General features: G+C 44.6%; 1 protein-coding gene across 14 annotated transcripts in view; it reads left to right on the top strand.

Annotated features, from left to right (window-relative positions):
• Window positions 1-23,327, top strand: part of SUSD4 (sushi domain containing 4) — a 144,405-nt gene that overhangs the window by 84,493 nt on the left and 36,585 nt on the right. For all 14 annotated transcript variants that reach the window (XM_024447936.2, NM_017982.4, NM_001410929.1 and 11 more), the window contains 2 exons: window positions 12,068-12,241; window positions 15,925-16,113. In XM_024447936.2, coding sequence (XP_024303704.1) covers window positions 12,068-12,241; window positions 15,925-16,113 — 363 coding nt within the window. The remainder of the gene's footprint in view (window positions 1-12,067; window positions 12,242-15,924; window positions 16,114-23,327) is intronic.

Below are 23,327 nucleotides of genomic sequence, written 5' to 3'. Positions count from 1 at the left end.
TATTAGGTCCCCTTGGTACAGAGCTGAGTTCAATTCCTGGATATCCTTGTAAACTTTCTGTCTCGTTGGTCTGTGTAATGTTGACAATGGGGTGTTAAAGTCTCCCATTATTATTGTGTGGGAGTCTAAGTCTCTTTGTAGATCTCTAAGGACTTGCTTTATGAATCTGGGTGCTCCTGTATTGCGTGCATGTATATTTAAGATAGTTAGCTCTTCTTGTTGAATTGATCCCTTTACCATTATGTAATGGCCTTCTTTGTCTCTTTTGATCTTTGTTGGTTTAAAGTCTGTTTTATCAGAGACCAGGATTGCAACCCCTGCCTTTTTTTGTTTTCCATTCGCTTGGTAGATCTTCCTCCATCCCTTTATTTTGAGCCTGTGTGTGTATCTGCACGTGAGATGGGTCTCCTGAATACAGTACATTGATGGGTCTTGACTCTTTATCCAATTTGCCAGTCTGTGTCTTTTAATTGGAGCATTTAGCCCATTTACATGTAAGGTTAATATTGTTATGTGTGAATTTGATCCTGTCATTATGATGTTAGCTGGTTATTTTGCTCATTAGTTGATGCAGTTTCTTCCTAGCATCGATGGTCTTTACAATTTTTCATGTTTTAGCTGTGGCTGGTACCGGTTGTTCCTTTCCATGTTTAGTGCTTCCTTCAGGAGCTCTTGTAGGGCAGGCCTGGTGGTGACAAAATCTCTCAGCATTTGCTTGTCTGTAAAGGATTTTATTTCTCCTTCACTTTTGAAGCTTAGTTTGGCTGGATATGAAATTCCGGGTTGAAAATTCTTTTCTTTAAGAATGTTGAATATTGGCCCCCACTCTCTTCTGGCTCATAGTTTCTGCCGAGAGATCCGCTGTTAGTCTGATGGGTTTCCCTTTGTGGGTAACCTAACCTTTCTCTCTGGCTGCCCTTAACATTTTTTCCTTCATTTCAACTTCAGTGAATCTGACAATTATGTGTCTTGGAGTTGCTCTTCTCGAGGAGTATCTTTGTGGCATTCTCTGTATTTCCTGAATTTGAATGTTGGCCTGCCTTGCTAGAATGGGGAAGTTCTCCTGGATAATACCCTGCAGAGTGTTTTCCAACTTGGTTCCATTCTCCCCATCACTTTCAGGTACATCAATCAGATGTAGATTTGGTCTTTGCACATAGTCCCCTATTTCTTGGAGGCTTTGTTCGTTTCTTTAACCCTGTTTTCTCTAACTTCTAACTTTTTCTAAACTTCTCTTCTCACTTCATTTCATTCATTTGATCTTCAGTCACTGATACCCTTTCTTCCAGTTGATCGAATCGGCTACTGAAGCTTGTGCATTTGTCATGTAGTTCTTGTGCCATGGTTTTCAGCAACATCAGGTCATTTAAGGACTTCTCTACACTGGTTATTCTAGTTAGCCATTCATCTAATCTTTTTTCAAGGTTTTTAGCTTCTTTGCATTGGGTTTGAACTTCCTCCTTTAGCTCGGAGAAGTTTGATCGTCTGAAGCCTTCTTCTCTCAACTCGTCAAAGTCATTCTCCATCCAGCTTTGTTCCATTGGTGGCAAGGAGCTGCGTTCCTTTGGAGGGGGAGAGGTGCTCTGATTTTTAGAATTTTCAGCTTTTCTGCTCTGTTTTTTCCCCATCTTTGTGGTTTTATCTACCTTTGGTCTTTGATGATGGTGACGTACAGATGGGGTTTTGGTGTGGATGTCCTTTCTGTTTGTTAGTTTTCCTTCTAACAGTCAGGACCCTTCTAACAGCTACAGGTCTGTTGGAGTTAGCTGGAGGTCTACTCCAGACCCTGTTTGCCTGGGTATCAGCAGTGGAGGCTGCAGAACGGCAAATATTGCTGAACAGCAAATGTTCCTACCTGATCGTTCCTCTGGAAGCTTTGTCTCAGAGGGGTACCCAGCCGTGTGAGGTGTCAGTCTGCCCCTACTCGGGGGGTGCCTCCCAGTTAGGCTACTTGGGGGTCAGGGACCCACTTGAGGAGGCAGTCTGTCCGTTCTCAGATCTCAAACTCCGTGCTGGGAGAACCACAGTACTCTCTTCAAAGCTGTCAGACAGGGACATTTAAGTCTGCAGAGGTTTCTGCTGCCTTTTGTTCAGCTATGCCCTGCCCCAAAAGGTGGAGTCTACAGAGGCAGGCAGGCCTCCTTGAGCAGTGGTGGGCTCCACCCAGTTCGAGCTTCCAGGCTGCTTTGTTTACCTTCTCAAGCCTCAGCAATGGTGGGCACCCCTCCCCCAGCCTCGCTGCTGCCTTGCAGTTCGATCTCAGACTGCTGTGCTAGCAACGAGCAAGGCTCTGTGGGTGTGGGACCCTCCCAGTCATGCGTGGGATATAATCTCCTGGTGTGCCGTTTGCTAAGACCGTTTGAGAAGCGCAGTATTAGGATGGGAGTGACCCAATTTTCCAGGTGCCATCTGTCACCCCTCCCCTTTGCTAGGAAAGGGAATTCCCTGACCCCTTGTGCTTCCTGGGTGAGGTGATGCCTCGCCCTGCTTTGGCTCACACTCGGTGGGCTGCACCCACTGTCCTACCCCCACTGTCTGACAAGCCCCAGTGTGATGAACCTGGTACCTCAGATGGAAATGCAGAAATCTTCTGTCTTCTGCGTCGCTCATGCTGGGAACCATAGACCGGAGCTGTTCCTATTCAGCCATCTTGGAACTCGGGACTGGTTCTTAAAGTATGTGCCAAGGACTACCTGCATCAGAACTTAGGAAAAGTACATATTCAGACCTCCTGCATTAGAATGCTAAGGGTGGGGCCAAGGAATCTGCATTTAAAAAAAAATCTCCCAGCTGATTCTTACACATAAAAATGTTTGAGACTCACTAATTTAGGGATATGGTCTGATATTGCTTTGTAAGAAGGGAGAATAACATAATTTTCTCTAGTGTTCGACAAAGATCCTTAGAGATGTTTAATTCTTAGAATCAGAAATGTCAGTGTTGTCATTTTCCAAATGGAGACACTGAACCATATAAGAGCTTTAGTGACTTATAGAAGTCACACAGCAGGAAAGCTGGGAATTAGACCAGTGTCTTGACTCCTTGTCCAGTGCTCTTTCTATATCCTGGTGGTGTGCAACCCAGGCTGCCTGTCAGGATCACTTGCAGAACTTTTAAAAATAGAAGTGCCTGAGACCCACTTCAAGTGACTCTATTTTAATTGTTCTGGGTAGTGGGAGCCCAGGCATAGGTATTTCAACCTATGCCTGGGCACACCCAGGGACCTCTTTTCAAGGGATCCAAGGTAATTTCAGTGTGCAGCCAGGGATCCCTTCCACCTGTGCTTTTTGTCCCAGGGTCCCTGGTTACCTGATTGTGGCTAAAGGTGGCATAGAGCACAGGAGGAGGAGCTGTTCCTGCCACAGCTCCAGTTTGCTCTGTCTCCATGCTTAACCTTGTCTCGGTTCCTTGCAGAGTGCAAAAAGGAAAAAAAAAAAATATCATCCATTCATCAAGCATTAGTTTTAAGTACTCGCTAAAATATTTTGGCTCCCATAGACCTGACCGGGATTGCTATAAAAGATGAATAATTTGATGTTAAGAAGGTTCTTTGAGCTTCCTGGGGAAAAGGTGCAATATGAGTTTAAGTATTATTATTACGTTATAAATTTTTAATTAAAAGATTCAGCTCAACTCATAAGCTAAAGCTGGCAGTAAAATTGGCAGATAACTCCTTTATTCATTGAAACTGTGGGGTGCAGGCATTTTTCAAAAGCGGGGTGGTCATACTCATGTTTCCAGTTACTTATATGTTAAGTGAGCTGTCTTCTAGCTCCAGAGGCTTCATCAAAACAGATGGATGCTTTAAAAATATTTTATTTGGGATTTTTTTTTTCTCATGTGCATTCTCTATCATCTAAAATTTCTTTCTTATTGCCTTAGATGTGGATTATCAGAAATGACAGCCTGTGCCCACAAGGGCAAGTATTTGCATGTCTTCCCCCAAGATATTCTGTCCTCATTTTCCATCTCCTAAGAAGGGAAGGAGCAGAGGGATGCTTCTACCTGTCCCCAGGACCACTGTCATTTCTTATTTATGCTGCTGTTAACAGAAGCCACTGCTATCCTGTACTTGCTCCCTTGTGGCTTCCATGTGAGTTTAGTTTTTGTTTTCTAAAATATTTATTTAACTTAAATGTGGCCAGACTTGAAAGGGAAAGAAAATCCATAGGAAATAATATCAGGTCAGGTCGAGGCAAATCCTGCAAAGATAAGTGACAGAAGTGATCAGTTATGATGGTTGCAAGATGACAGGTGGACCACCACAGACAAGGGTTCTCAAGCCTGTGCAACCAAGCCCCCAGTAAGTGCAAATCTTGACAGCTGTTACTCCTGAACCAGCTGCCTCATGCGGTCTTGCACACGTGAGTGCTGAGACCTCACTCTTTCTGTACAGGGGCTGTGGAGGTAGGGAGTTGCTCAAAGTCCCAGAATTGTCAGGCAAATGGAGAACAACAACATCATCAGCACATACACAGATCCTTGTCAGAGCCTGTATAAAGGTCGCACAGTGACTGTTAGCAACCCTGAACACCAAACTGACTTGGGGGGATTTCCCCAGAAAGCAGTTTTTCACAAGCTTGCAACTGAAACTATCCAGAATTATGTTGGCTACTTATGAAAAATGCAGACCTACCCCCACTCGGGTCCTTCCAAACCCACTGCAGATGAAATTCATCTTCTCTCATGCCAGTCTTTGAGCAGTTTGGGGGCTGACCGAGGCTTTCAGGCAGCATCCTGTGAGTCCTATTACTGATTCAGATCTCCTTGGCACCCCATGCTGGGTCTGCAAGAGTGTGAGGCCTCGGTGTGCCTTGGTGCCCCAGCTTGCGCGGATTAGGTTCTGTTTTTCTTTATTACATTTGTCTGAGACACCTGCTAAGAGATGGGCCAGCGCTTGTTAAATTCCAAGCCAGCCTTTGAGTTTTGATTGCTATTCTTCAGTCTATTCAGTCACGCAGACTGACCTTGCATAGCCCATCACATGGTGGTTCTCAGTGTTTGACTTCATGGTAATTGCCGGGGGCGGGGGCTGGGAGCCATAAAAAAAGGCACATTTCCAGGCCCCAAGCTCAGATGCTTGTATGCAACAAAGAATCGGAATTTACCAGGCATTTCCAGGTGATTCTCATGTTGTGGAGCCTCAGAGGATTCCTTGAGATGCTTACCATGTGCACTCTATGAGCAGAGCATGAGACATGGGGTAGAACCTCTGGAAGTCATCAGCCCATGAGAAGGGCATTTGACATGCCTTCTTTTATTTTTCTTGTGAGTTCACCTCTGGCCTTAAAGTGCTTTCTGTCACTTCCTTGTTGTTGAACTTTCCAGAAGGTGGAAAGTGACCTTAAAGTTTCTTTAAAGATAAAATAATTAAAATTGGGTTTATTAAGAGAAAAGCAAGAAATCAGGTTAGATTTGCCTTCTAGGACAAAACTCTGAATCAAACCCAGTTTTTCCAACAACCTACATAACCTACATTCAGAGGTCAAATTGTCTTCTGAAAATTTGCTGGCAAATATTTGAGGTTTTATGCTTTTGAGAATTTCAGCACCACCCCCAATATGTTTAGTCGTTCACTCCCCAGAATTCCGTTAAGCACTCTCTACTTGCCAGGCCCAGAGGCTCCAGATGAACTGGGAAAGACAGCTACATAGGCAGTGATGTCCTTGTTCTTCTTTCTGGATTAATTCTATTGTTGTTGTTTTAACTTTTAAAAAATATATGAAATAAAATACATATAGCAGTGTACACAGCACTGAACAGTCAGTATTTTTGGACTCATAGGTTGTTTAGAAAGGTACTACTCAGTTTCCCAAAATATGGAGATTTTCTAACTATTCATTTCTATCTTTATTTCATTGTGGCCAGAAAAAAAAGAGCTCTATGATTTTGTTGTTTTGAAATTTTTTTGAGACTTTCTTTATTGCCCAGGTATGGTCATTTTTTGTAAATGTTCCACGTGTGCTTAGAAGAATGTGTAGCAGTCTCAGTCCCTCCAAGTGAATAGCTAAGAACCCACAAATAATTGCCCTCAATGCGTTAAATATAGAAATGAATGTTTTAAATAATGAAATACGAATCTACTAATTGCCTTTGTCAACCACAAATAAATAAAATATTCCAATCTATGCACCAGACAAAGACACTAAGTACAAGAAGCATGCTTATTATAATAACTTTTCTTTGACCAACTGTTTTTCACGGGGCTTTTTCTCAGTGAGTTTAAGCCAGGGCCTAACTACCTTCAGCTGCAAGCCAAAAGGTCTTAAGTGTCTGGTTCTAGTTCTTCTTCAGGTTTCAAAGAGTCAGTGTCCTTTAAATATGAAAGAAACAACCTGGACCAGCCCTGCTCACAAAGCAAAACTATCCCACATGGTGGTGCCTCCTGTTCTATGAAGCATCCTCTCTCTCCAGTCATCTCTGAAGAGCATTGATTTTTGCCCCTCGTTTTCTCTGCCTTTCGTTAATTGCTGGTGGTCAAATCATTCGTCTCAGTTGGTTTCATTCAGCTTCTTCAGCCCGATCCTGAGTAAATTGTGGTGGTTGGGACAGTGTGCTCTGAGCTGTGCTGGAATGACAGTTCTTTAGAACAGCAGAAGGGTGGAATGGCACTGATATGGAACAGTGCTCCTGAGGGATGTTAGTGGATAGTAAGTGAAAAAAGCATTCTGTGGTACTAAGTTCAGAGTCCCCAAGACCCCCCTCACTTGTGATACCAGCTATAAATCTGGGCTCCCTGAGACCACCATCAGGTTCAAAAATTCACTAGGACTCAGGAACTCAGACTCACAGAACTCAGGAAAACTATTCTACTCATGGCTAAGGCTTTTTACAATGAAAGCACATAGATTAAATCAGCCAAGGGAAGAGGTGCGTAGGGCAGGGTTCAGGAGTCACCAGACATGAGCTTTCAGTTGTTGTCTTCCAGTGGGGCTATATGGACAACACCTCTTTTTTCCAGCAACAATGTATGACAATATACACGAAGTGTTGACAACCAGGGAAACTCACCAAGCTTTAGTGTCCAGAGTTTTAATCAGGGCTTAGTCACGTGGGCATGGCTGACCACAGTGTGGCTGATCTTCTTAGTTCCCTCTCCCTCCAGAAGTTGACCCGATACTGCATGGCCCATGACCCAAAGCTTAAATCACATGTTAGCATGGACTAAAATCCATGTTAGCATGGACCAGATGGCATGGCGAAGGCCCCTGCCATACATCATACTGTTGGCATAATCTGTCTAGCGTGGCCCAGAGCCCCCAGACAAACAAAGACACTCATCTCAAGCCAGACATTCCAGGGGCTAAAGGTTACCTCTCAGGAGCTGAGGGCAAATGCCTAAACCTCTCCTTGGGTAAGTTAATCCTTTACTGTACATATGGGAAACCCTTTGAGGATATAAATCAGATCATGCCTTGGCCCATGCTTAACAAACCCCAGTAACTCCCTATCACACTAAAATAATTCCCTGCCCTAATCTACAAAGCCCTGCATGATCTGGCCTGTCCCTCCCCTTCTTGGTCACTATATTCCAAATACACAGGTCTTCTTTAGTGTTTTTAAGGACACCAAGCTCTTTCCTGGCCTTTGCACTAGCTGTTGCCACTGCCTAACATGTTCTTCTCCAAGACCCATACATAATTAAATTGTTCTTGTCATTCAGATCTCAGCTTAATAAATGTCATTTCCTCAGGGGCCCCTTTCCTATCTACCCAAATTAAAAGAGTTCCTGAGTCAGTCCCTATCATGTCACCTTGCTATGTGTTCATCGTGGCAGTGAGTGTTGCCTGCTACTTTCTAGCACCTTTAGCTGTTAATTTGCCCATTTGCAGTCTTCTCCCATGCAAGTGCTGTAAGAGTAAGGCCCTTGACTCTTTATCCCCAGCACCCAGGACACCCTGAGCCTAGAGTGAGTGCTCTGTAATTCATAAAATGGATGAATGAACAGCTGGATGAATAAACAAGCTTGACAAATGCTGGTTTAAACAAAATTAAGTAGAATTCTTTACAGTAAGACCGTTCGAGCCTTTAATCTACTCTGTGGATTGTGAATCTCTTGAGCGTGTATTATGTATTCATGTTCCTGGGAACAGTTTTGGGGGAGTATTAATGTCAAAACTTGGTGTGTTGAAGGAATTGGATTCATTTTCAAGTATAACTAACTTTTAAAGAACAGTAAATCCTATGTATGGCACATTTTCTTTAAGATTTCTTTTACTGTTACTATTTCTGCTCCATCCCTTAGGCGCTGCTCTCTGCTAACTAATCTGATAAATTAATTTGTACTTGGGTATAAATATGCAATGCTGCCTTAGGATCTTTTACTCCTTCTTTTATTTATTCACTATATTGAATCCCCATTGATACCAGAAGCAGGATATAGAAATAATGACAGTGTTGGGCTGGTGAAAGATGATTTCCAGAATGGAAGGCTTTGATATCCTTCAAGTTACACCCTGAATGGCCTATTTATGCCTCATACACGTAAGTTCTAATTGTTGACCAGATTCAATAGGACAGAAGCAGATTTTGATGAATATTTTTGTAGAGTGCAGTGGTGTGATCTTGGCTCACTGCAACCCCCACCTCCCAGGTTCAAGCGATTCTCCTGCCTCAGCCTCCCGAGTAGCTGGGATTATAGGCATGTGCCACCACGCCTGGCTAAGTTTTATATTTTTAGTAGAGACGGGGTTTCACCATGTTGGCCAGGCTGGTCTCAAACTCCTGACCTCAGGTGATCCACCCACCTCGGCCTCCCAAAGTGTTGGGATTATAGGGGTGAGCCACCTGCCTTCAAAATTCTTTCTATTGACTAGATTAGTTTATGCTATAGAAAATTATGTTATTTCTGTTTGAGACTTCAGAATTGATGGATATTAGACATTTACTGTCAGACACTAAAGATCCTAGATTCTTTTTTTCTGTGGAAAGAAGGTCCATGGTTTTTCACTACTACAGAGAACTCACTGGGCACATACTTTTTTCTAGATACCTTCTTCCTACTTCACCCTCCTTTAGGGGGAGGATCAGATGCCAGACTTTGTGGGTAAAGAAATCATAAAGGCTCTGGTTAATGTTTTCTCTGTCAAGGTTGACTTTTTTGATAGAGCTGATCTGTGTTTGTTTTGTACTCATTCCTAGGGCACTGCCCCTCCTGGCCTCTTCCCCTTGTTGGGATTTGGACCCTACTTCTTACTCCCTAGTTGATATGTGGCTCCTCCCACATAGTAAATTGGCCTGGCATCACTCCCTATGGTGACTCTTCTTTCAGGAGGGCACATCATCACTGGGATTCAGGAAGCTGTGAATTCCCTCTAACCCTGTGTCTTATATTCTGCAATAGTCCCCATGCCATGTTTGGGGAAACTTTAGCTCTAACTAGAAGTTGAAAGCGTTCTACATTACACAACACTATGCTGAGAAATCACTCTTAGAAACAAGGCTTGGGTGCTTCTGCTCCCAGCCAGCCAATGTCCACGTGTCCATAATGCCCAAAGGGACGCTTCTATCCATTGACTTTATTCTCTATAGCTGGTCACCTCCTGAGTATACCAGCTAATTGCTGAACAAGTTTTAAATCAATCATGAAAATAGTTGTTTCAATGTGTAAATTACTGCCGCAGTACCTATTTACAGCCAAGATTTTACAGACGGATGCCTTGATAAATGTGTTTTTATTTGCTGTGAATAATTTCTGTAGAGTGCGATTGAAAAAACGTAATTCACATTTTCTATTAAGGCAGCAGCAGTGTGCAAAGAATTGTCAATGATCTTGTGACCCCAGTTAGGATTATTCTGGGATTGGGGTTGATTCTGGGGAACTCAACTATGCTAGCAGGAAAACTGTTTGTTAAACATGAACAGTTAGAAAACCCCTTTTCAGGCTGGGCGTGGTGGCTTACCCCTGTAATCCCAGCACGTTGGGATGCCAAGGGATCATGAGGTCAGGAGTTCGAGAACATCCTGGCTGATATGGTGAAACTCCATCTCTACTAAAAATACAAAATTAGCTGGGCACAGTGGCATGCACCTGTAGTCCCAGCTGCTCGGGAGGCTGAGGCAGAATAATTTCTTGGACCTGCGAGGTGGAGGTTGCAGTGAGCTGAGATTATGCCACTGCACTCCAGCCTGGGTGACAGAGTGAGACTCTGTCTCAAAAAGGAAAAGAAAACCCCTTTTCGCGGCCTGAAACATAAATATGAAAGGTAAAACCAAAGCCAGAACACAGTTCTTCACCCCAGACTCTCTTTGTTGAAATCATGGGCAAAGGGAAGACCTGATGACAGGTGTCCTCAGGGAAGGCTGAGCTGCAGGGCTGTGCCCCAAGCCTGTTAGCCGTGCTCCAGAGGGCTGTGCCCTCACAGCTTGCTTGGGCAGAGGTTCACAGAACTCCTTTCGGCACTCTTTCGCCAGGTGTGTGCGCAGGTCAGAAGCATGGTGGGAGGGTCAGAGGAAGTGAGCAACACAGTCCCTGCTCTCAAGCTAACGGTGATGACAAAGGCTGAGATAAGGGCAGACCTGGGCTTACAAGCATTTGACTTCAGGTGACCCATGCAGGCAGTGAACAGCCACCACCCCTGCATCCCCAGCTGCCAAGCTCTCCTCTAACTTGGAAGCCCCTGTCTGCCTGAGTCTTTCCCATCATTGACATCCTATTTTCTGAAGTCTGTTGTGCCATACTTCCCATTTCTCCCAGTAAACCCAGCCCCAACCCCACCTCCTAGCTCCTGGATGTGCCCTTTTCCGAGCCACCAAAGTTCCTAGCCACGAGAGTCACCCACTCACCCACTAGCCACAGCATTTCCCTTCTCTTCCACTCACATCAGGGCTTCCAGGGCCAAGTGCCTCAGAGCCGACAGTTCAAAGCTTAGAGCAACTTAAAGGTGAGGGTTCCTGTTAGTACTATTCTGGCCATATTGTGGATTTTGTAGGATTTGGGGAATGGATAAGAGACCTACAATCTTTTAAAGCGTTGAGAAATTTCTGGAGGAAATTTCTATGATTCACAAAATGCTGTTCTTGGTTTTTGCCTTGTTTTAAAAAGTTAAGAATCAACAAATTTGGAACATAACCCATCTGTAGGTCATGCTTACAAACACGTATGCATATAAAACCAGAAACATTAAACAGACATGTGCTCATAAGAGATGGAGAGAGACACATTGCGATCAATGTGCCTTAAACCAGATGGGATGACTTAGGCAGTGTTTAGGGTGGAAGTGGGATCCCAACTTGGCAGCAAGGGGTGGCGTGGCCTGCACAGTGAACTGGAAGTAGATGCAGTTGGAAGTGGGTAATGATCACTTGTTCATTTTATTTGATCTTCTTATCATTTGCTGCATGGCATGGGCTCGTCGTTCCTTCACTGGCATTCTCCTCCCCCAGCCCCCAGCCTTGCCTCTTCTCCTATAAACGTGCCTTTTGCTCTTACTCCATTTTTAGGAGGCAGCACAGTGGCTTGCTCTGAGCCTTTGTGAGATTGGCAGTAGTGTGTGCTGCTCTATCTGTTATCTCTTTTTAAACAGATAAGGTGGACAGGAAATGCTAATGGCAAACACAGCCACAGCTCAACCCCTGTGCTGTTTTGCAAAGCATATTTTCTTATCAGGCTCAGGGCCGGGACCCTTAGACAGAGGTGGCATGGCTGGGCAGCTGTGAGACTAGCCCATCAGGCCACACTGTGTTCTGTTCTGTCCACAAACACAGTAAAGTATGTAACCAGGTAGTTCAGGCTAATCCTCAACACTTCTCTTTTTCCACTTATTTCCAAAATTGTTCATAAGATCAGCTGTACGGTTTGAAGTGTCACAGGCAGGAAATAAAGTTCTTTTTGTGGTTGGATCCCCACGCCCTGGGTCCCTCTTTTTGAGCCACCTTCTCGTTACTCCCGTGAAGCCACCTCTTCTGCTCGTCATTGGCACCTGAGCCTAGTGACAAATGAGGTACCATTTATCAGATTGCTGTGTAGGTTGAGACCAAGTCTGAAAATAAGAGCTTTCTCGTGAAGCTGTGAACCACAACCGTTTTAAAATTCCAAAAATAATGTGTACCTTTTACAAAATTGCAGATTGCCGTATCCCTCAAATCGAAGATGCTGAGATTCATAACAAGACATATAGACATGGAGAGAAGCTAATCATCACTTGTCATGAAGGATTCAAGATCCGGTACCCCGACCTACACAATATGGTTTCATTATGTCGCGATGATGGAACGTGGAATAATCTGCCCATCTGTCAAGGTACGGGACTGATGCTTCAGTTCTCAGCTGGGCTATTATTCTCTCGGACTTTATTGTAGACTGTGTACATGTTTATCTAATAAAGTGATAGAGATGATGGGCGAAATGAACAAAGCCATCTACCCCACATGGATCCAGTTGCATCTTTACTACAATTGCCAAAGCTCTGTTTTTGGACTCTCCATCACCACTCCTTGTAGCTTGCTCAGCTCCATACACCCAGTTTTAAAGGATAAACAGGAAACACCTTATTCCTTGGAATGTTGGATGTCTCTTTTACTCCAAAATATCAAAAGTAGTTTAAGAATCAGGAGACTTGTAACTGAGCTGCTAACATAATGATGAACTATTATATATTTAATGGAAATAACAGAGCATTTGTACTTATTTCAATAGTGGTGAAAATATAGTTAAAGCCAATCTTTAACAGAGGCTGTTTTCTCTTAACAGTGTGTGTGTATATATATATATATATATATATATATATAAAAAATGCATGAAGAGCAGAAAAATTATCAAATTCAAATTTCATCCGAACAAGCTGGTGAATATTTATTCCCTTGCATTTTTTTAGATTTGCCTGGGCCATCATAGAGGGCCCTGTTTGTGAAAATAAACCCTCAAGTTCAGAGTAATTCTGATTTTATTTTTTGACGTGTGACTTCGACCAAAGAACCAAGAAGGCAATGCATAATTCATAATTTGAGGGAGAAGGAGAGCAATCTCATTTGCTCCAAAAGCACCAGCGTGCTCAAGCTGAGATGAATGTTAACTTTGTGCTTGGAAATCACAGCTGGCATACTCTGATATTGCTTTGGGTGCCCTGTTCTTGGAAATAAATAGTTTCCTTACATGAGAGCTTAAAAGTCGTGACCCCTTGAAGGAAGAGAGGCTTGAGCATAAGAAGGACGAAAGCAGCCCGGACCATCACGCTCCCCTGGTCTCTCCCAGGAACTGCCAGTGTTGCTGAGCATGTTCTGTGTTGCATTTTTAAAGGAGACAGGATTTATTTACATTTTCAGGTGTCTACAAAACAAGCAGCTGGCTGTTAAGTTGGGCTGCTTATTCAAATAAACTTTATTACCTGCTGATCCGTTTCAGTCCTCCGACACGATCAGAGTGATGGCCAGGAAAACAACCCCGGACTGCAGCCACTTCTTCCCTTCCTGTTTTCCACATAACCTTTTGTTCTCCCATCCTTTCTGTTTCCTTTTCTGTCACTTAAATACAAGATGCTCCTTTAGGAGTTCTTTTTTCCCCAGTGATTAGAAAAAGAAATACCCTGTGTTGGTGTGCCTCTCAAAGTGTCATTTTGAGGCTTTAGACCCAGGCTTTCCTGCTGCTCTTTCTGGCCACTGTTGCCCCTTCTCCACCTCCCCTTCCTCAAATCCCAGTCAAGACATAGTTTTTCTAGGTCTGCAACAACAGAGCCAGTCGGTTACCCTGCAGAGGTATGCTTCTTTAAACGATGCAAGCCCTGCCCACCTCTCCCTCCTCCTCAGAGGCCTCTGTCCCACAGAGGGGGTGGGTGCCCTGGCCTGTGCCCTACCCTCTAGTGCACCCCACATCTTGCTGCACAGAAAGATAGGTCCTGCCTGCTGGAGCTGCCACTGCTCCAGTGTTGCTCACTGGCTGCTTGCCTGGCACACCATAGGAAATGAGGAACTGAAGTTGCCTTGGACAGTCTGACACCCCTCTGAGCCCCCAGGGGGAATGTAATTGGCCCTAAGAGTGACATTTCATTCTCTAAGTTGTATTTGCACCTATAGATCCAGGAGCTAAAGCCTGAGGAGGCCTCTCTCTATTATCTAGAAGTGCAAATGGAAATCACATTGAACTATTGAGTTGAAGCCCATTTTCGACTGTTACATTTAGGACAGGCTGTCTCTAACCAAGAGTGAGAATATCTTTCCTTCTCCTGTGATTAACTGCATGAATTATAACCTTACTCTGAGTCAGAGTTAGTTTTTATTTGAGAGAAACCAGCTTATCTGTGTGGGTAGTTTAGAACTACAATTCCTTCCTAGGAAGAAGAGCGAGCACAATCATTTGTGCCAACTCATTTGAACTACACTTAAGGGTTCTAAGGCACTCACTTGTTCACGTTAATGTGCTTCTCTTTTTTTCTCAATTATTGAGTCTGTTTATTCCTGATCCCCAACCTCCTCCCCACCACATAAACACACATACACTTCACTTTTACTATAAACATTGTCAGTTTTCAGCTCAAGAAAACAATAATAATAACCTAAGGTTATGGGACTGTCTACAAAGATGGCTGAGCTCCATACCTTTTAGGGTATGGTGCATCCCAAATGTTGGCCAATTCAAAGCTATGATCTGCTTGGTCTGCAGAGCCGCATGGCCCCAGGACACAGCAGTGCAGGATTGGCACTGCCCAACCACGACAGTGAGTGCCTCAAATTCTGCACCCGCCTTACCCTCACCTGCTCTGATGCACAGACACCATATACTGGGGTTTCAACCAAAGCAATTTGCTGAGAGATCCCTTCAAGATACTTACAATGTCCAACAAAGTCAGCTTAGGAGAAGGGTTCAGTCATCTGCTGCTGTGCATGGGACACATACAATCTGTATCTGGTGACTTGGAAGGGAAAGTGGGTATTTTCATTATACATTATTTACTTCACACACAATTAGTTCTCTCCTGGAAGAACACCGGCTCTGCAGTGTCATTATTCTCTCCAGTGAAACTGCTGAAGCAATAAGAAATGCCCTGATCACAGTGGATGCCACACACAACAGAATTCTCTGCCACCAGGAGTGTTCTACTGGCTGCACAGGCTTCAGGGCAAACAGGCTGCTTAGTGTTTCACAGAAGGAGTGTGGGATCCAGGTCCCACTTCCACACTATTGCACACAGCATGCTGTGCTCGATGCACAGACTCAGGACATCAGTGGTTCTGAGTGTGGTCCCGAGCCTGGCAGTGGCAGCAGCAGCAGCAGCAGTGCCTGGATGTTGGCAGTGCAGTTGTCAGGCTCCCTCTGCCCCAGACCTGCTGAAACAGAAGCTCTGCAGGTGGGCCCAGCAGCCTGTGTCTAACAAGCCCTCCGGATCATTCTCGAGTTTGAGAACCACTACACTGTGGGATTCCTCATCTGTTTTACATAAAACACAACTGGGTTTTCAGAAATTTAAGGCCACCATCTCAGGCAGATTTCTGTCCCCAAATCCACTATAGTGGAATTCAGTTTGGAACCTAAGCTTCTGAAGCTGCTCTCACCACCACTGAAACCACTGGCGGTGTCTCTTTCCTCTTACAGCACCTCGGTGATTCTCAACCTGTCCTCAGAGCCTGGGCATGGGGCCCAGGTACTGGTGTTTTATAAAAGCTTCTCAGGTGATGCTGAAACGCAGTCAGAGCCAGAACACGTGGCCTGAGGGTGTACAATCCACAGTCAGACATTCACCACCCTCCCTCTGTCTTAACTACTCCTCTGACCCTCTTGGTGCCATTTTCAAATAGCGGAGCAAATACCTACATGATAACTAGAATAAGGAACCTGAGTATTTGAGACCAAGGTGCTTCATTCTTCAGAGGTGGTGCCATTTTCACCTTCAGAGGTGGGGGAATCCTAAAAAGTTCCAGTGTTCTGTGTGACTTTTCGATGTACAGAGATGACAGAGTGGAATCTTTCCCTTTTTCTTTCACCTTCCACAGGCTGCCTGAGACCTCTAGCCTCTTCTAATGGCTATGTAAACATCTCTGAGCTCCAGACCTCCTTCCCGGTGGGGACTGTGATCTCCTATCGCTGCTTTCCCGGATTTAAACTTGATGGGTCTGCGTATCTTGAGTGCTTACAAAACCTTATCTGGTCGTCCAGCCCACCCCGGTGCCTTGCTCTGGAAGGTAACACATCTCATTCTTTCGGAAGTTGTATTTTGTATTATTAAAGGGAGGAAGAAGATCAGTAGGAGGAAGAGCTGTGAATTATGATGGGCAATAACTTTTCTTCTCTGAATACATCTTTCTCACTTTTCTCCAGAGCAGAGATCAGCTGCCGTGAAGCCATATTTACAATTAGATGTAAAACTTGCTTCCCTCATCCTTAGGCTTAAAGAGGAGAGCAGATAAAAGAAAAAGTTGCGAACATTAAAGGTTAAATTACAAAATATTGCAAAGTTAAATGAAATGTCTTCAAAAATTAATTTTCTCTGCACCAAATGGGAACAGATTGTATCATGTCATTAATCTTACCCCTCGTTTTATTGTTGTGTCGCTGTTTCCTCCATATTTCCATGCACTTTATGGCTTAGCTGTAAATGTTTTGCTGCAAGCACACCCTTGGATGCCTGAAAGCAAGAGCTCTTTCCTCCCTGTTTTTATTAAATCTCTATGACTATAGATTGTGATTCACGAAAGACCACTAATCAGTAGTATGAAGTAGTGAGAAGGACAGGGCTTCCACTGGCGGAGTCAAGGCAGTGTCTGCAGGGGAAAAGCCTGTAAACACTTCTGCTAGGCAAGTTGGACATGCTGGTTCAGCTCTTGCTTTAACTCAGATCTTGAAAGTATGCCCGAAGAGAACAAGCTCCAATGTGTTTCTCAGCATCTGAGTATAGTGGGTAGGAGGGGTCTATATGGGGAAAGAAAAAAGTGAAGAAACCTCAAGTCAGGAGCCGCTTCAAAGCCTATTTGCAGCCTTGTTTGGGAAACAAAGCAAAACAATGGAATATGGAAACAAATGAGTTCTTACAAGTTTACAGCATCTCTACAAGTGTGCACCTCTGTGTGGGAGGAAGTCAGGGTAGGACGTGTGTCATGGAGGGTGACTATTGCTCAGAAGGATCAGAGACGGCCTCTCTAGGGATGTGGAGTGGGGTTGGCTGGAGCCATGGAATCTCTTTGGAGAAGGATGGGGGAAGGAGGGAAGGGAGCCAGAAGGCCAGCCCTTCCCATTGGTTTTGTCATACTCCTAGGCTGATCATTAGAACTCCCCTCACTCCACTTCCCACCCATCGCAAATCCCCCAGGGAATTGGAGCCTAGCCTAGAGATGCCAGATAAAATACAGGATACACAGATAAATTTGAATTTCAGATAAGCAAATAATGTTTTAATATGAGCATGTCGATATATGGGACATACTTAGTATAAAAAATTATTCTTTCCTTATCTGAAATTCAAATATATTAATAACTGAGTGTCTTGAATTTTTATTTCCTAAATCTGGTCGCCCTAGCCTCAAGGGACAAGGTCATCTCTTTTGCTTCCAGTGGGAATAGCCTTCCTGTTATCTGGATGCTGCTGGTAGGCCGTGGACCTCTGATGGAAGGGGCTCTTCCCTAGTTCTGGAGGCTTCTCCCTACTCAGATAACCAGACAGAGAGGGCCCTTTAAAGATATCGTTGTTACGATTTTATCAATTTGAAATGCCTGTTTTCAAATCTTTTCAAATTTGGTTTAAATGTGTTTCAAGCAGTCAGGTTCTGATAAGCTTTATTTTGGGACTTGTAAGCAGTCTTTATGGAGACTAGAGAATATGATTGGATAGGCATAAAACAAAATCTAAGGTTAAAAACAGGGAGCCGAGAGTGGCTTTGGGTTGAAAATGAGTCTTCTGGCCTAACATGTCCCCTTTCCTCTGCCATCCTCCACTATGAGTAGATGGGAAAACCCTGGCTGACAGCTGCCTGTGCCAGGAAGGCCACTTAGCGTCTTTTTTCCCTAGGGTTTTTGTTTTTTTAATAAGGTTTACATCTCCGTTTTCAATAGACATCCCTTTAAATTGTCTGATGGCATTTGTTGGTGAGCACTTTCAATGCAACACTGGCTAAAGGTACAAAGTGGTGATTCTAAACTGAGAGGCACAGAGGGGACTAAAGGATTATTTCTTTCAAGACTTGATAGAAACTGGGTTGAATTAAGCAGTGGGTTAAACTAAGAGGTAAGGATTCGTGAACAAGTTATCCAGATGTGCCTAGAGGTTTGCATTTCTCTCATTCTCACTTTAATTGTGTATCATCTTTTTAAAAGATGGTGCCTTAGTTATGCACTGTTGTCATAGGGTATTCAACATAGACGAACTGTCACAAAGGAATCGACCCTTTTCATAGATCACCCACACTTTTAACTCCTCATCTTTCTGTCTTCCTAAGCACACGATTTGCACAATTTGATTTTTCTTGATGACATAGTGAAAATTATTGCACTGGGCTGTGGAATTATGATGCTCTAAGGGGCTTTTAGATATGTTAGAACTCTCTGACCCCTGCAGTAATGGTGTGGACAGTTCTGCTGTGGAAGTCTTTCTCTTTGAGTTTTCTGTCCCTTTCCCGTTCCTCTTTCACTGTCAATCCATCAGCTGTCAGTGTGCCTGTCACACTCAGGGTACCTGTCGCTGCAGCTGTCCCTCACCCCCAATTTCTTTTCTAACCTGCTGTGAGCCAGGAGGAAGGTTCACCAGGCTGGTCATGGAGGGAGCATAGCATATCAATTACCAGTGCAAGCTGACCTCAGACGGACTGGCTTCACATCCTGGCATCCTACTCAATCACTTCACCTGGGGCAAGTCACATAGCCTCTATCAGCCTCCATTTCTTCCTCTGTAAAATGGGGGTGATGAGTCCTACTTGGCTTGTGGGACTGGGAAGAGTCAGTGAAATAACAAATCCACCCATTTAATGAAGTGCCCAGCCCATAGTATGTGGTCAATCACTTGTCTGTTGTTATTAATGCACTAAGAGTTTTATATAAAATCTCAATAAATAAGAGAGAACCTAGCATGACTCTCTGTGAATACGGTCTCCAGACTTTTAGACATGTACACTGTGACACAATTTTGGTTGTTCAGGTGCTATTTTGGTTATTTGTGTATTCTAAGCTGTGTCTACGTAAGATGACTCAGATACCAAGAGGACATACTGAACAATAAGAACAGCCACCATTAATTTTGAGAGCTTACTACATAGGTGTCAGGCTACTGCTCAAAGTGTTTGACACAGTGTCTCCTTTAATCTTAACTTTTAATGCCATTTGGAAGCAGGTACTATTGACCCCCTTTAGCCACTGAGCAAACCCAGCCTTCTAAAGGTTCAGTAACTTGCTCAGTCACAGCTAGGAAGAGGGGGAGCTGGGACTATAGCATGGATCTTTGTCACTTCAAAGCTCATGTTCTTGATCACCAAGGTACATTGTCTATTTAACATGTTCTGATTACAATCTAACAGGGGGAAAGCAATTTGATACTTTTATAGGCATTTTCTTAAAGCAAAACAATAAAATAATTATTGCATAGAAAAGAGTTTGTCTTTCTAGTTTAGTTATCATCCCTGAGAAATCCCAGCAGCAGAGAGGCTCTGCTGCCCGCTGGGTGGCCGCAAGCTCTTACTGCTGCCGCCCCACAATGCCCGTTAGTCTCCCACGTGGCCATGGAACCCCACTTCAGCCAGTGAGCCAGGCAGAGGTTGTTGGCCTCCTTTTACAGATGAGGACATGACCCCTTGGAGAATGCCATGACTTGTCCTGACCCTTCAACTCTTGGCGCATGGTCTCTGCCGCATGGCACCTCCTCTCCCTAGCGGAGTGGAGAGCACTTTGTGAGGGTCAGTGTTTGAGTGACAGCTGTCACACTGACATGTCAACAATCTCATAGTTGATACCTGGCTTCATGAAGGAGTTGATAATTTGGAAGGAAACGCTTTGGCAGCCTCACCAAAGGTGGCAAGAGTTTGGAAGCCCACTACGAAGATGTGGGTCGCATGTTTTAAGGCCTGCACTATTGCACTCATGGATAGTGGGAAGATTCTGGAGCGTATATGGGTCCCCATAGCTGTGTTGTCAGATAAAGCACCCAAAATTTCAAAGCATTGAACCAGAATGATGGCTGTAATGTTTTAAAATCAATGACTGTATAAAATTGGAGCTGGAAGGAGCTTCCTGCATCCCTGTGTGTCCCTGTGGGCCCTGGCTTGCTGTGGGCCTGTGTGCTTTGCCTTGTCTGCGTGTATCTTAGTGCTTTCCACTCTCGGGTTCTCTTCCTCCCTGAGGCCCTCACCTCCATCTGTCTCTTTCATGTGCGTGCACACACACGCACACATTGAATGCAAGAAATCTTTAAAAACTAAAAAAGCTCTGACAATAAATGTGGGGAATTTCTCATTGTTAAGTGCTAAGAACTCAGTTTATGTTGTCACCAGTGACTATTGAACACCTGCTAGGCCAGAGCAACACCGAATTGGGCACTGGGGAATTACAAAGAAAGGAAAGGACATAATTCCTTCTTTTGAAGAGTTTACAGTCTAGAGGGAGAACAAGATGGCAAAGTCCATTTCCTAGAGAATAGCCTCATTACAGATGGCAGCCACTACACACACAGCTACTTTTACCAAAGGGCACACGGGGGCTTCTGCATTTAGAAAGGGTAGAAGGACAGTTTCAGGAGATGATATCACAATTGTAAAATGAAATTTTCTACCCAGGCATTTATGGCATTTTTGTTTATTTTCCCCAGAGACCAATAGTAGCATGTTTCTGTCTTTTCTGTCTCCACTTGAGCCTTGGGGAAAGAGAAAGTTCTGAACATCTCACTCCTAGGGAAGGACTGTGTATTTTGAAGTGTGGTGGAGCTCATCGGTATAGACGCAGCCTGCCCTAGTGTGTGTGAGAGGCTCCAGCACAGTGGTTTGAAGGGTGGGAATATGGAAGGATATTGAGGAGCATAACAATAAGTAAATGAACCAACCATGTAGCACATAGTTGCAGGGATGGACACAGACACACACGGGGCAGTCTAGGAAGAAGAGGCACTAACTGCCCAGAATCCCCAAGACACTGTGTGCTTGGGGCTGTGAGAGCTGCTGGTTATGAGCGGTTGCAGGAAAGGGCTCTTCTCTACAGGGGATAGGACCACCCACAACCCGTTAGTATCTGGAACATTCTCTTCACATTCAGGTTTTCAGACAGCCTGGAAACAGCACAGAGGTGCTGGGTATCCAGTTATAGAAATTTCTGGGGGCAGCTCTTTCAACAGCAGAGATCACAGCACTGTGCCTCTTTGAGACAGGTTGCAAGGGTCAGAAGAACAGACGATGGAAGCAAAAACTTGGAATTTGGGGTCCTTAATTGTAGCTGCCATCCACTTAAAGATTCCTGTTGCCCTAAGTGCTAAATTAGAGGACTTAGGATCCTGGATCCTTTATCCAGAAGTCCTCCCTTCAACAACACTCTAGATAAAAAGATGGAATCAAGTTTAGAAAGGACCAATCAAACATTTAGGGAGATTAGAGTTTAAAAGAAACCAAAATCAGTGTCATATGCTATTTCACGTAAGTGCCTCTGAGGTGTATGGTTTCATTCAGCCAACATTTTTATGCCTATATGCTGAGTATTTTGCAAGGTCCAGTGCAAACAGTGGCAAATGAGTTGTGCAAAGTCTCTGTCCCCCTGGGGCTCACATAGCATGTGTTGCTATTCCTGAAATTGCACTCTCCACGCAGGCAGAGCTAGGTTCTAAATATTACATTTGTAAGTTATCCAGGGCCTCCCGTGGTAGAGAAGATTGTTACCTACACTGAAGGCCACCTAGAAGGAGTTCTAAGGCAAGGTCTCCATGGTTTCGAAAGAACTGGGAGGGTCAGGCTGGTGAGTCACTCTTTGCTGTGTGGGGTTGGCTCTGAGACGTGATGCCTGGTCTGCTTTCAGAAGGCAGCCGGGTTTTCAGGGAAAGCAGTGAGCATGATCCCAGAGGCCCCAGGGAGTCTGGTCTGCTCATTTGTTTGCTTTTCCGAAACAGGGGAATACATCACTGTAGGATCTGCAGGTACCTAAGGTTTCATTTGTAATGACTTGGGCAGTGGCTTCCCTGATGCTGACAATTTCAAAAGATTTTTTCAGCCTCGTGGCTGCCATTTCTCCCAGGAACCAGTAAACCCGACCCCCTTGGAAGCCGAACATCTGAAAGTTTAGGTTTTTAAATCTGCCCAGTCCCCAAACCCAGAATGCCCCCAGGTGACTCCCCCCAGCCCCATTCATCTCAGAGCCCACATGGACAGAGATGTAGTTTTCATCAGACAGCATCCAATTCAATCACAGGGAATGCAGCAGTGTGATTTCCTAAGAACCTACAAGTGCCCAGGGGTCCTTTCAGCTCTGTATCCTTTTATAAGAAAAGGAGGAAAAATAAGAAACTGAAGAACCTTGTTTGGCCAAATGTGAAATGACTTGAAAGGTTCCAATTTGGGATCAAAACTCAAAGCCAGCTTGGATGTGGAGGGCTCCCCAGCTCTCAAGCTACATTTGCAGTGTACTTTGTTCCTGAGTCAAAACACGTTCAGGTACAAGAGGCGCCTGGTATAAGAGGCGCCTGAAGTGATTTCTCCCTCCAGGAATCCTGCCTTCACTCAGAAGTGCCTCAGAACTTCAAAGTGAATCCTGTGTAGGGAACAGGAAAGACACAGCAGAGAATCCAGGCCTCCTTGGATGACAGAGTCTACCCTGATCCTGGAGGCAGGCTGCAGGGGACACTCAAAGGGGGTGTGATGAGGGCCCACCCTGGGACAGGCTGCTCCCGTTTTACAAATGGAAACTTCAGACATAAAGAGGAGTCCATACCGTTCCCAATAAGGTCGTAAATTACTGTTCATGATGAGGCCCAGTGTCACCTCGGTCACTTCCCCAGACCCGAATCAGGGCCACTCTATTCTCCCTATGGAGTTCCTATCTTCCTCCTGCCACCTGTCCCCAGACATGTGGGGGAGACGCAGGGTCTCTCAGCTCCCTGCCCGGTGATCCACAATAAGAAAGCATGAGCTCGGGTCCATCCTCTGATAAACTTGAAACTATTCTGCATTGGATTTGAAGTAGCACATGGGAAATGACAGAAGAAAGGTCATATTGGGGATTTCATGCCACTGATTTTGAATTACTGGTCATAGAATACAGAGCTTAGGCATCACCAATTTCCCTTTCTCCTAAGCCAACCCACCGTACCCCAGTGTATCCTTGTAGAGATGAATGGGAAGTGCCAGAGAGTAGCAGGCTTGGCCACAGTGGTGGCCTGGGAGCACCAGTCAAGGTCCAGCATCCACCCTGGGCTCTGGCACCATCAGGCTGCCTTGAGTAGGGA

This window comes from Homo sapiens, chromosome 1 (genome assembly GCF_000001405.40).
Source record: "Homo sapiens chromosome 1, GRCh38.p14 Primary Assembly".
Classification (NCBI taxonomy): Eukaryota; Metazoa; Chordata; class Mammalia; order Primates; family Hominidae; genus Homo; species Homo sapiens.
Note: the sequence above shows the minus strand (reverse complement) of the source record. Positions and strands in the feature narration are given on the sequence as shown.